The 14,101-nt window shown below is 38.4% G+C and overlaps 1 long non-coding RNA gene across 4 annotated transcripts in view; it reads left to right on the top strand.

Annotated features, from left to right (window-relative positions):
* The window catches only part of LOC102723323 (uncharacterized), a 137,467-nt gene that overhangs the window by 14,498 nt on the left and 108,868 nt on the right, over window positions 1–14,101 (top strand). The window contains exon 2 of one of the 4 annotated variants that reach the window (XR_002957885.2): window positions 656–725. The exons of the other annotated variants lie outside the window; for them this stretch is intronic. This is a non-coding gene — a long non-coding RNA (uncharacterized LOC102723323). The remainder of the gene's footprint in view (window positions 1–655; window positions 726–14,101) is intronic. 4 annotated transcript variants of the gene reach the window in all.

Raw genomic sequence — 14,101 nt, 5'->3', positions numbered from 1 at the left:
ATGAAAACAGCCCATCCCCCAGCCTTTCCATGTAACAGAGAAGTTACTGTATCTAGAAACCCAGCTGTCCAAACTGAGATCGCCAGTCTCCAAGCATATAGAAAGATTGGATTAACTCATTTGTCCTTGTGAAGACATTAATATTGTTCCATCACTGAGCAGCTGAAACCCCTGATAAATCTCTATTTCAAGGCAAATTTGTAAATGCCTAAGTGTAGTCATAATAATAGTGTTGTAAGTCTTATTGAACATGCTCAGAGCGGTGGATTATTTATAGCATCGTGTTCAACGTCAAATACTTCAGAACACAAATTATAAACTCTTAGAGTCTGGGGGAAGTTTATAGAAAAGGAGACAATGAAGTAAAATCTAATTTGGGGGAATAATGGTGAGAAATTACTCAACCAAATTAGAAATCAGTTTTACTCACTTCGTGGATGGTGTCCAGACTGACAAAGGAGAAGGAAGATGGATGGTTTTCCAGTAAATGCCACTAGCAGACAGAAACAATCTAGTATGTTCCAATTCCTCATTCCTCTACATGGCTAGATGTGAGTGAGAAGGCATCTTTGTTGGCTATTACGATGTAACAAAGAGCCATAAAGTCTCAATGGCACTTAATAATAAGCTTTATTTCTCATTCATCCATCTGTAGTTTGATTGGAGTTGAGCTGATCTTGTCTGAACCTAGCTGGGCCTGGTCCGGGGCGGCAAATTAGATTCAGGTATGTTCTCCATTTCTCTACTCTCCCGAAGTTGGCAGGTACCTGAGACACGCTCTTCTCATGGTGGTGGCAGGAGTTAAGACCACAAGCCAAACATACTGACACATGTCAAACTTCTATGCTTGTCATATCTACCAATGTTCCATTGGCCAAAGTAAATCCCATGGCCAAACTCAAAGTAAGAAGCAGGTAAGGGTACTCTTTCCACTATAAGGACAAAATAAGGCCGTAGTTACACTAATCTACTATGGAATGTATCAGTCCCTTAAGTTGCCATAACAAAATAACATAAACTAGATGGTTTATAAATTACAGAAATTTATTTCTCACAGTTGTGGAGGCTGGGAAGTCCAAGAGCAAAGCAGATTTGGTGTCAGGTAAGGGCCCACTTTCTGGCTTAAAGACAGTGCCATCTGGTGACATCTTCACATAGTGGAAGTAACAGGAGATCCCTGTCAGGTCTCTTTTGTAAGAGCATAAATTCCATTTATGAAGGTGACACCTTCATGACCTAATTACCTCCCAAAGGCAACACCTCTGAATATCATCACTTTGAGGGTAAGGATTTAACATATTAATAATGGGGGGACACAAACATTAAAATCATAGCATGGAGGAATGAGGACATACAGAAATAACTAAGTCTATTGTGAGAGCCAATACTACCCAAATAGTGCTATAGTGCTTTTTTTTTCTTTAGACCCAGATAATAGAAAAAACATTATTAGCAAGAGTTTTTGTTTGCTTAATTCTGATAATAATAGCAATCTCTCTTTGGGGAACTACCCGTCCCCTTTCTATATATAATTCAGTTGGGGCTGATCTTCTCCGGCCTCTAGGAAACAACAAGAAATGGGAGACTGGCCAATCAGAGGAACTCATCCTCTTGGCCATATGGTTTCATTCAGGGATGAGCATGTGACTTATGATGAGGCAATAGAAGCCAAGCTTGGGACTTTGGATAAAGCTGCCTGCAAAGCTCTTTCTGAATATGCACAGCATGTTAAAGTTGGAAAATAAAATTTAGTAACTGTCTTGGTTCATTTTGTGTTGTTAGAATACCCAAGGCTGAGTAATTTATAAAGAAAAAAGGTTTATTTTTGGATCATGATTTTGATCCAAAAAAGAAAGTTAAAGATTGGGAATCTGCTTCTGGTGAGGGCCTCGGGGCCCGTTTTTCAAGCCTTCCAACCTCTTTCCCTACATGCACATCACTTTCTGAGAAAAGTTTCATATGGCACTATCAGTCTGGGTTTTTCTCTAACTTCTCAGTCATGAAGTGACTTCATGCTTACTGTTTTACCTCTTGAACTCAGAAAATCATTTTAGAAACATCACTATTGTCATAGCAACATTAGTTAAATTAAAATGTTATAAAGTTTTAAAGCATTATCAGTTTAGATGGAAGCCAGAGATATTTCTTAAAAATGCTCTAAGAACCAAACAAAAAGGAGATTCCAGAAAGTAAATTAAATGCATAAGTGCTAACATTGTTTGTGCCCAAAAACCAAATGTTGGATGCCAGATAATAAGAAAAATGGGTAGTTATAATATAAAAGGTTGATAAAAAAGATTGGGTATTTCTATAATCTACTTTCCTGACTCTCCAATTAATAGTAAATTTATTATGGTTTTCTTCATGATGATTTGGAATGCCAAGTTTTCAGTCTTAAAACTTCAGGGCAGATAAACATTTTAGGTGATTAAAAAACACACACACACACACATTTAGAAAATGATGTTCTGAGAGGCCTGCAGAAAGAAATTCACACCATTCTTTACAATTTCATTACAGAAGATGAATAAATGTTTGTCAGATTAGCTTTGCTCAATCTCATAAATGGTGGGAATGCAAAAACAAATGCAAATAACAAAGCACAATTTGTTTTCCTTCAGTCGAGTGATTGGAAAGATTCCGGTTTCTGCTATATATAATGCAAGGTCCCATCAGAAATCTCAGCTCTGGATCCAGCTAGCATAATATTCATTCCTAAGGCAACTATATGTGTGTAGGGAAGCGGTGGGAGGAGGAAAGAGAGAAGAGCTGCGATAAGGACTCTATGCTTGCCTCTGGAATTTCCTAATTCTGTGCCTTCATGAAGTGATCTTGAAAGCCCCATATCCAAAAATCACAATTCTAGAAGTGTTTGATCTGCATTCCAGGAACCAAGCTCATTACCTAGATACAGGTGGTTTAAGTTAATATAAGCATGATTACCATTGTTAATTGTCTTATTTATTATATCAGCAGTATTGCTATGTAATAACCCCATGCCGCAGTGGCCTAAAACAGCCACGAATGCCTGGGAGTCAGCTGATCTAGACTAATGGGTTGTAGGCGGCTCTGCACCACAAGTCTCTCATCCTCTCCTGAGAGCAAAGGCATGCCCTTCTCATGGCATTAGTAGAAGTGAAAGGGATCAAGCAGAAACAATGGGGCCTCTTGAGGTCTGGGCTTCAACCTGGCACATCATCACTTCTGTCTCATGCTACTGATCAAAGTAAGTCACGTGGCCAAGCCAAGAGCCAAGGGTTGCAAAATATACCTCTCCCCTTTTGTGGAGGAACCTCAAAGTCACACAGCAAAGGGCATGTAGAGAGGATAAAATGAAGAATTGGAGCTATTAATTCAATCTATTACTTTATTTTTAAAATATTTATTCATATATTCATTTATTCACTCTTTTTTTATTCATTCTTTCAATAAATATTTACTGAGCAGAAAATGTAACACATGAGCCAGGTGTGGTGGCATGCACCTGTACTCCCAGCTACTCTGGAGGCTGAGGCAGAAGAATCACTTGAGCCCAAGAGTACAAGTTCAGCCTGGGTAACATAGCAAGACCAAACCTCTAAACTTGCATTTTCATATAATAATAAATAGGTAAACAAACAACTAAAACAATAGAATGCCATCATAAGTTCTCTGAAGGAAATAAAGAACATTGATAAAAAAATGCAATAATGGAAGAGATGACGTGGCTAATTCAGAAAGTGTGGTAAGAGAAGCACACACTCCCTATTCCATTTATCTGCTACCTGATTCAAGTATGTAGTGAAGTCATGAAAACCCAACCTTTAGTGCCTGCTGTACACCACTCTATTTGACGCCAGTCCTGAAATATGTTGATTAACCCAGGAGAATTAAAAATATTAAAAGCCCTCATAGGTGTCTGATGTCTTACATTTACAATATGTTTTTTCAACTATTGCATCGTTTGAGTTTCATGGTGTTTCTTGTCGATAGTCTGGGTAGGAATTAGATAGCAAAGCATGGGTAATAGAGGATGCTGTGAGGCATAGGAAGAAGGACGGTCCCAAGAGGGCTAAAGTTTACTCTCCAGGAGAAAAAGAAAATAATGAGAATCACGTAATGGATGAGAGGTAGAGAAGATTTTGTAGGTTGGCAAGAGATATGAAAGCTAATGATCAAACATGTGGTTGTTGACATCTAAATACCCCTCCCACACAAAGCATCATGGGGCACACGGCAGTGTGAAGAAAGGATGGAAGGAAGATTTGCTGGCTTCACATATTAGCCCTTAGTTATTTTCAAGTTTTATCTTTTCGCAGAATTACCATTCAATCCAGCAATCCCATTAGTAGATACACACCCAAAGGAAAAGAAATCATTCTACCAAAAAGACATATGCACTTGTATGTTCACCACAGCACTATTCACAACAGCAAACACATGGAATAAACCTAGGTGCTCATCAACAGTGAACTGGATAAAGAAAATGTGTTACGTATACACCATGAAATTCTACACAGCCATAAAAATGGAATAGAATCATGTCTTTTGCAGCATCACAGATGCAACTAGAGGCCATTATCCTAAGCAAATTAATGCAGAAGCAGAAAACCAAATACCACATATTCTCACTTACAAGTGGAAGCTAAACATTGAGTAGACATGGACATAAAGAGGAGCACAATAGACACCAGGGGCTACTGAAGAGGGAGAGTGGGAGGAGGGCAAGGGCTGAAAAATGGCCTATCAAGTACTATGCTCACTACCTGGGTGACAGGATCATTGTGTACCAAACCTCAGCAACAAGGAATGTACTCCCTTGAACCTAAAATAAACGTTGAAAAAATAAATAAATGAATAAAAATAAATGAGGTCCAACACGAAGAATAATTTATGTTTTCCTTAAAACATAATATAGTCACATCATTTTACCTTTTTTTCAGTAAGAGTCAGTAAAATGCATACAAAAGAAAGATGACTACCTGGTCTAAAAGAGATGAAATTCTTGAGTGAAAAGCACAATGAACAAAACAACATTGATAGGCATATATAGTTTGGGGTTTTTGTTTTTTGTTTTTTGTTTTTGAGACGGAGTCTCGCTCTGTTGTCCAGGTTGGAGTGCAGTGGCCTGATCTTGGCCCACTGCAAGCTCTGCCTCCCGGGTTCACGCCATTCTCCCACCTCAGGCTCCCAAATAGCTGAGACTACAGGCGCCCACTACCACGCCCAGTTAATTTTGTTTTTGTAACTGTGTTAGCCAGGATGGTCTCGATCTGCTGACCTCGTGATTCGCCCGCCTTGGCCTCCCAAAGTGCTGAGATTACAGGCCTGAGCCACCAAACCTGCCGGATTTTTTTTTTTTTCTTTTTAAGATTAGGAAACAGTGACTGAGTGCAGTGAGAGGATGGGTGAAAAGTCTCTGGTGTCTGAGCATTATAGGCTCCATGCCTCTTCCCTGTGGTTGGCCTCTTATTCCACCAGAGATGTGAATTGTGGAATCGAGGCAATTTATGTTTGGGGTGGAATGTCTATTTGTTTTAAAATCAGAAGTGGCAGGAGTGTTGTGGGTTTCTCCCCACCCTGGGAATTTTGTGTGTGGCTTTATTATTTTATTGTTAACATGTTCAAATTACAGTTCCCCTTTCTTCTTTGCCCCCTAAGAAGTGTAGGCAGAATTCAACTGATATTGACTTTTACTAAGACAAATTCTAGATTTATTGACCTGAGAAATAAATATTAATAGAGGTTAAATTGGGGTCAATTTTTTACTCCAAGAGATGATAAATCTTGATATATTTCTCATGGTTGGTTGGTCAATATGTTCTCTGTGCTGCCCATGAACTCACCATCATCAGATTCTCCGGAGAAAAAGGCTGGCTCGCAAGAGGATGCCAGAAGAGTGACATCTCCCTCATCAGCGCTTTGCCTCTTAAGGTACTTAGGACACACAATTACATTTAATCCTAGCTTGTTATTTATCAGGCTTTGACCACAGCCCAGGTCAAATCATGTGTCTAAGAAAATAATGACACCACACACATAACACAAACACACACACAAATCTCTCTCTCTCTCTCACACACACACATACATTTCATCCTCTCCAGGCCACCCATTGCAGTAAGAGAAAGGTATAGAGCCTGGTTAGTGCATCGTATGACTTTATTTAAGGAAGGAATTTCTGCTTGCTCATCCACTAAAACTCTGAGGACCAGATTCTCTCCCTTAGTCTATCCACCTATTTTTGATTTACTATTAAAAGAATGGCGATGGATAATTCATTTGACAAATACTGACTTCCGAGTAATTACTCCTACCTCACACTTATATAGGCCATGCATTTTAAAACCTTTTTATATATATAACTCATTCACTACTCACAACCACCCTAGGCACAATTATTTTGCTTCCTCATCCCATCGATATGGGATGAGGAAACTGAGACACAAAGAAGTTAGAAAATTTGTCCCAGGTAACACAGCCAAGATCTATCTGAACTCTGGTAGTCGGGTTGTGAGTATATAATTGTCAGAACCTCTTCCCACAGCACATCTCACAATGCTTGGTACTGAGAGTACCTCAGTGAGGGAGACATTCGTGTGCTTATATATGTGCTTGTATGCATTCAGAAATGATGGGAAGAATATAGATATCTCAAAGTTGACAGCTGTTACATCTAGCCAGTAGGAACTCAGGTTTTTGTTCCTTTTTCTTTGTCCTTGTTTCCTACACTTCCCTCAGTTTTCTTTGTAAGGTAATATGGATAGTCCAAGAAATCTGCAAATAAGTACAAATTAGTAAGGAGAGAAAATGCATTATAATGCATTACAATTTTTTAAAGTGTATAATTTAATAAACTTTAACATATATTTGCACATGTGACACATGTGGACCATATCCATTGCCCCCAAACATTTCCTCGTGCCTTGTTGTAATCCTTCCCTCTTGCCTCTATAAGGGTTGGTTTGCATTTTTTAGAATTGTGTATACATGGGATCATACAGTGTGCATTTGTAATCTGGCTTCTTTCACTCCATTATGTTACTTTTGATCCATCGAAGTTACTGTGTGTATCAAAGTTTACTTCTTTCTATTGCCAAGTAGTACTCTACTGTATGGATTACAATTTAAATTGCCATTCAGAGATTAAGTTTGAGAGTCAGAAATGAGCTAGGGGATGTTCAAGGGACTGAAAGAAAGGGTGCTTCCTTTAGAAGAAATCTAAAGCCAATGAAGAAAGAATTAGAGGACACAGTTCCATTTTCAATTAGTAACATCTCTGAATAGGTGAGGAATTGATCCAGCTGCCAATAATAGAAAACCTGACCCAACAGCAGCTTAAACAGAAGATAGTCTATCTAGCTATCTGTCCACTGATTTATGTTTTTCCATACCAAGAGATCCAGGGAGAAGTGAGAGCTTGTGTTGGTTCAGAGCCTCAGAAATACGGCCAACATTGCTCTGAGGAACTAGCTCCTATCAGTCTGCAGCTCTGTCCTGGGCACATCAGGATTAGTCTCATGCTTTGTCATTGCACGCATCACAGGTTGGCTGCGTCGGCTCCCATCATATGCCATCAACAATGTCAACACTTGGTATGTCAGGGTTATTTTTTAGTTTTAGCCATTCTGGTGGCCATGTGGTGATATCTTATTGTGGTTTTTGTATTCTTGTTTTGTTTTGTTTTGTTTTTTTGAGATGGAGTCTCGCTCTGTTGCCCAGTCTGGAGTGCAGTGGTGCGATTTTGGCTCACTGCAAACTCTGCCTCCCAGGTTCAAGTGATTCTTATGCCTCAGCCTCCCGAGTAGCTGGGATATCAGGCCCCCACCACCATACATGGATAATTTTTGTATTGTTAGTAGAGACAGGGTTTCGCTATGTTGGCCAGACTCCTTTCGAACTCCTGACCTCGTGATCCACCTGCCTCAGCCTCCCAAAGTGCTGGGATTACAGGCATGAGCCACCGTGCCCAGCCCTTATCATGGTTTTAATTTGAATGTATCTGTTGTCCAATATGATTATTGGTTATTTTATATCTTCCTTTCTGAATGCTTGTCCCATCAAACATTCACAAATGAGAATTCAGGTCTTTTGCCCATTTTATGTTTTGTTTGGATATTTTTGCTTATTCACATGTGGGAATTATTTATTTATTCTGGATACAAATCCTCTATTGAATGTAACTTTACTCTCTTCCATGTACACTACATGAACAAAAAGTATACAAAAATTAATATGTATTTATAAATGTGTGATTGTGCACTTATTCAAGTATATTGCCTCATTTCATTTAGGATCTCGCAAACAATCTGCATATTGAATAAAATTCTGACTCTTTTTCAGTTACCATATGCATAAAATAATATAGGGACTACTTTTTATTGTCAATACTCATCATTTGTGATACACTTAAGAGAAATTAAACTAAGCTATAAAGTTTTTACTTGATTATAAAATAAAATTTGTGTCCTTTATCATGAAAAGATAAAAAGTAATGTGGGATTTGCCCTAGCCTTTATTTGGAATGATGCCTAAGTCCAAGGACAACTCACTCGTGGGAGGAAGATGATAGTTTAGTAACTGGAACTTCTATTATGTTAATGCCGATGTTCTGTGATTAAAATCAGGGACAATTCAAATAAGAGGTTGAGATTTCTTTTTCCATCTCCAACAATTTAAGGCTTTGAAGTTAAGTATAGTTAAACAAAAGATCTATGTGTAGCGGCTTTACCATTTAACCATACATGATAAATATTAGTGGAGATATGCCCATGCTAATAAGGATTGTATCTCTTTGTTAACTTCAAACCTACTTGTCTTCTGAAGAGGCACATTGGCACATTGCATGTATATACTCTGTGGTCAGTTCTCGTCACCAGTCTGTGGATTGTAAATGCAATGCATGAGAGATGCCTTATAAAATAAAAACAATACTACTTAATTTCTTGCCCTCTGAGTCACTAAAGGAAGCAGAGTGTGTTTTGAGGCAGTTTTAATACATGCATTTTTTTAATTAAAAGAGGATTATTTGTTTATAGTGTATATGTGGATTCTCAGTTAACTAAAATATTAATTGATAGCTATTTACTGAGCATCTACCATATGTTCAGAATTGTGCTGAACAGAATGAAAGACATAGAAAAGTATATTGAAGGAAAGAGATGGCATTAACGTTTTTGGAACAATTGGAGAACAAATTGGTATGATTTGTGATAGACTCTAAGTATGATAGAAGTTCAACAAAGAGAAAATCCCAGTGTAGTGAAGCAACAGGGAAAGGTGGGACTTAACTTGGTCTTAAATCTGAGACAGAATTGGGATGAAAGACTGGAAAAAAAAAAACATGAGCAAAGACCCCCAAATTCAGTAGCTTAAAGGAGACCGAAGATTATGCTCTTGCATAAAAGTCCTCAGGAGAATGGATCTCTATATCATGGGTAGCTCTGCTCCATGTGGTCATTCAGGGGCCCAGGTTTCTTCCATTTCTTGCTCCACAATACCATAGGGCAAAGGTTCTTCAACTGTGGTCCTCGGGAACTTGTTAGAAATTAGCTAGAAACTGACTAGTAAGTCTGTGGGCTCTGGGGCTGAGATCCCAGAACACACTCTCCTTAAGCTGAAGGGTGAAAAGAAGAAAACTGACATTTTCTAAGGGGCTATAAGATGCAGCAGAAAAGGAATGACTTTGAAAACATGTGTTTACATTTCAATTCTGCCATTATGCTGTCCATCAGACCCCATTGATTTAATTTTCTTATTTGTCAAATAACTATTCTCCCTGATATTTCAATTTATGTTTTATTTTAAGTAAAGTAAGTGGTGCAAGGTTAAACACATAATAAGAGCCAAACAAAAGGTAGTTATTCTCATTGAACACCCGCTAAGGGCCAGGCACTTTGCTAGATGTCTTACATATGATTTCCTCAAAAATATTAGCAATGATACATGATTATGATATTTTCACATCAACTTTACAAATAATAAAACCAAAGCTTAGTGAATAAGTATCTTGTCCAATATTGTAGTATAAGTAGCAGGAAGAAAACCCAGATTGATCATGCCACAAATTGTGTGATTTTCCATTAGGTTTTCACTTTAGTCTTAACGTTTTGGAGTTAATGCCTCTGAGTCATGCAAACTACTGGGCCTTTTGATGGTGACTCAGCAAAGCAACTAAACTCATACCTCAAGGATATTTTCAAGGGGCTTATGGGTCTAGATTCAACATCCCAATTCCTTTACTTCCAGCAGAAGTTTCTGGTGATGCCATCTCTCTCTGTTTTCCAAAGAGAGCTAACCATATAAGCCACAGAATTTCTCAGGAGGCTTTCACCTCCAAATCCCATGAACTTACCAAATTTCACTGGTCTTTGACCTCTTGAAAATAAATTCAAGTGAAACTCTTGAGTTCCCAAATATTTATTAAGTTCAGATCTATACCTAGTGCTAAGCCAAAGGAAAGCAATTTACATTCCAGTAGCTTTACACTAAATTCTAAATAATCTTACAGTGAAGTGATGCCATTTTTACAATCATCAGCTTTACTCACAGGGAGACCAGAAAACACATACAAATACAAACTTACACATATTGTTGAGAAACTCATGAAAGTCTCCATATTAACATGTGCTATTTTTATTTTAATTCCAGTGTTCCTTGGTGTATTGGATAATATTCCATGGTCACAGCTTAATATGGGGTGTTGCTCCTCTTTTACAAGGTGTTAGCATTGATTATACCATGAAAGCTCCCTTGATACAATCCCAGTCCATGTCTTCACCCATTTATGGCAATCAGTAGTTTTTAGGAGAAAACTACTAATCATCTAAGCCTGAGAAAAGTTGGCTGAGACTGAGGAAGGATTCACTGGGTACCTTTTGATTATTTTATGACATCTCTTGCATTAATTTTGTATTTAAAAAGCCCAAATAATCATACGTATCAATGTCTAAGGGTTCCTAAAAGTGAGAAACTGATTCAAGACCACTGACACACACACACACAGTTGAGTTACACACCAGAACACTAATTTGAACCGTAATAATGTCATACATTTGTTCATGTATTTAACATATATTTATTATCTGCCTACTGACAGCCAGACACTATCTTGATACTACAGACACAGCAGAAAATGGAAAATAAAACAGACATTGTCATTATCTTCATGGAGACAGCATACTAGTGGGGGGACAGATATTAATCAAATAATCCCCCAAACAGAGCTGTAACAATGACGCATGCTGCTACAGGAAGGTTCACGATGCCAAGAGAGCCTAGAGATAGAGCAATACGGCTCAGTCTCGAAGTCAGGGAAAACTTTGAGGAAATGGCCTTGGAGCTGACATCTGCAAAAGGAGTAAACTTGGGGAAGAGGGAGGGAAAGACATTCTACACAGAAAGGTTATAACTGCAAAGGCTATTTTTAAAAAATGCCCAAAACCTTGGAAGTAAGGCAAAAGGATAGATGCTTGTCTTTTCAAAGTCACAATGGAGTGCTGGTTAAAAGGCTCATCTGAGGATTATTTAATTTTCCAGCTCAGGGCCAGCAAATTTTTTATGTAAAGGCCCAGAGAGTAAATATTTCAAACTTTATTTTAAAACAGAGCCATATGTATTTCTGTGAAGTATTCTTATTTGTTTGGGGTGATTGTTTGTTTGTTTTGAGACAAGGTCTCACTATCACCCAGGCTAGAGTCCAGCAGCGCAATCACGGCTTACCATAGCCTTGACCTCCCCAGCCTAAGCCATCCTCCCACCTCAGCTTCCCAAGTAGCTGGGACTACAAGGCGCGCACCACCATGCCCGGCTAATTTATTTTTATTTTTTTTAGAGACAAGGTCTCACTATGTTTCCCAAGCTGGTCTGGAACTCCCAGGTTCAAGTGATCCTTCTACTGAGGCTTCCCAAAGTGCTGGGTTAACAGGAGTAAGCTATGGCCTGTTTGGCAGGATTGTCTTCACAATCCTTTAAAAATGTAAAAAAGAAAAAAAAAAAAACATCCTTTGCTCTCAAGTTGTACAAAAGTGGTCCACAAGCTTCATTTGGCCTGTGGGCCATAGTTCACCAATCCCTGTTCTAGGAGAACCCACCTTTGCCATTTTCTTTACTATTGACTAAGGCCCAGACCCTGGGAAGTCATGATTAATTTAAAGTTATTTTTGTCTGCAAGAGATGCAAATGATTTTTGCTGGTAAAAAAAAAGAAAATAAAGGTTATGATTTCATAGTGCTGTAGTCCTAATCCATTAACCACTTTCTTACCTAAACTAGCAATCTTATTCTAACTTTTTTTCCTGTGCTGATAAACACACAGTTCTCAAACACTCCTGGTTTCCTCTTTAATGAGTTAAATAAATCTTTGTACCTGTTTACTTTGTATTTGCATAAAAGCCTTGTTCATCACCTTTATAAAATGATACTTTGACAGGCCCTATAGCAATAGAGGGGATTGTTTGCACAAGGAATTGAAGACCGGAGTGGCTGGAGCAGAGACAGGAGTGTACATGTGACATGCTAGGAATAGGTGGATAGGTAGTGGCCTGCCCATATAGGGCAGTGTTGACATGTTAAGCAAGTTTGCCTTGAGCTTGAGAGCATTAGAAGACATTGAAGGATTAATCATGTATAGTGGTGTGGGAGCTGTGTGTGTGTGTGTGTGTGTGTGTGCATGTTGAGGGGGCAGGGGTGGCCATTCACATAATCATGCCACCCACAGTACAGAGAGCAGACTGAAGGCATCCAGGCTGGAGGTGAGTCCAACCATTAAGAGGTTACTGAAATAGCCCAGGCAAGACAGTAAGCTCCCTTGATAAAGGTAATAGACACGAGGACAACAATCATATCTGAGCAATATTTGGAGCTTTGTTTTTGGAGAGTTCATAAAAAGGAAGAGCTGCCAAAGATGCTTGGTCATTCTTTCCATCTAGTGGAGCTTAATGTGATCCAAATGTGTTTTGATTCATTGACCATACAAAGTCACCATCACAGGGATTCAAAACACTTGAAGTCCTCTTTAGGGGCAGCTCATTTCTTCTTTGTTAACATATTTATGTCTCCACATGGAAGCCATATTATATTCAGAGGACTTCTTGGTGAAAAGAAGAGGAGGACTTATGATAGACAGTGGAGACTTGGAAGGATGAGAGGGTGGGAGGCAGTGGATGATGAGAAATACTTAATGGGTACAATGTATGTTATTTGGGTGATGCATACCCTAAAAGCCCTGACTTCGCCACTATGCAATTTATCCATGCAACAAAGTTGCCCTTGTACCCCAAAAATTTATACACATGTTTTTTGACAAAGAAGAACAGGACTTCTGTGAAGTTAATATCTATTGGCATTGGATTGAGACTGCCAGAGATTTTAATTTGCAGTAATGATTGTCATCCCAGGAATCAAAAAGTCAAAAAGATAAAGTCAAGTTTATCTCCCAAAGTGTGTGTATGTCTCTGCAACATTGAATTACATTCTAGAGCCCTCCTCTTCAAAGCTTTCATTGCTGATCAGCCTTTTAGGGGTAAAACACTTTTTCTTTAGATGCACGAAAATCTCCACGTTAAGTCTCCCCTGGATGTTCTGGGAGATTTTCTTGTCTTTTTCAGTTGACTTTGCCTATCTCTGCTCTGTTTTCAGAGGGTACTCTTTCTTCATTTTCAGATCCTTGGGGCCATCTAACTGTAGTCCCCAAGTACTATAGCATTTGTTTTAAACACTGTTCAAACTGGCAGTGCCATCAGCCCACACTATGCACTCCATGCAAAATATCCTTAGCAAATTATGGAATGTGTCTAGTAGATAAAACATATTTTAATGAATGAAGAGGTTAGTATTTCATAAACCCAAGAAAAGTGTAAACTGACTTCCACTATCAACAGTTTAAAATCAATTTGGAGGCATTTGGAAAGCATTTTAAAGAGCAACTAGGCATCAATAAAATTTAATTAATTGGTTCTATGGATGCACATGTAAATTGGGTGTTAATTATGCTAGCAATGCTCTTCCATTAAAAATTAAGCTCACAATTAGTAACTGAGAAAAACAAGCCATCATTCTATAAACAAGTCTCATTCTGTTGTATTTGAACCCAACCTTTTGGAAATTAAATCATAACTCTACAT

This window comes from Homo sapiens, chromosome 16, assembly GCF_000001405.40.
Source record: "Homo sapiens chromosome 16, GRCh38.p14 Primary Assembly".
Taxonomy (NCBI): Eukaryota; Metazoa; Chordata; class Mammalia; order Primates; family Hominidae; genus Homo; species Homo sapiens.
Note: the sequence above shows the minus strand (reverse complement) of the source record. Positions and strands in the feature narration are given on the sequence as shown.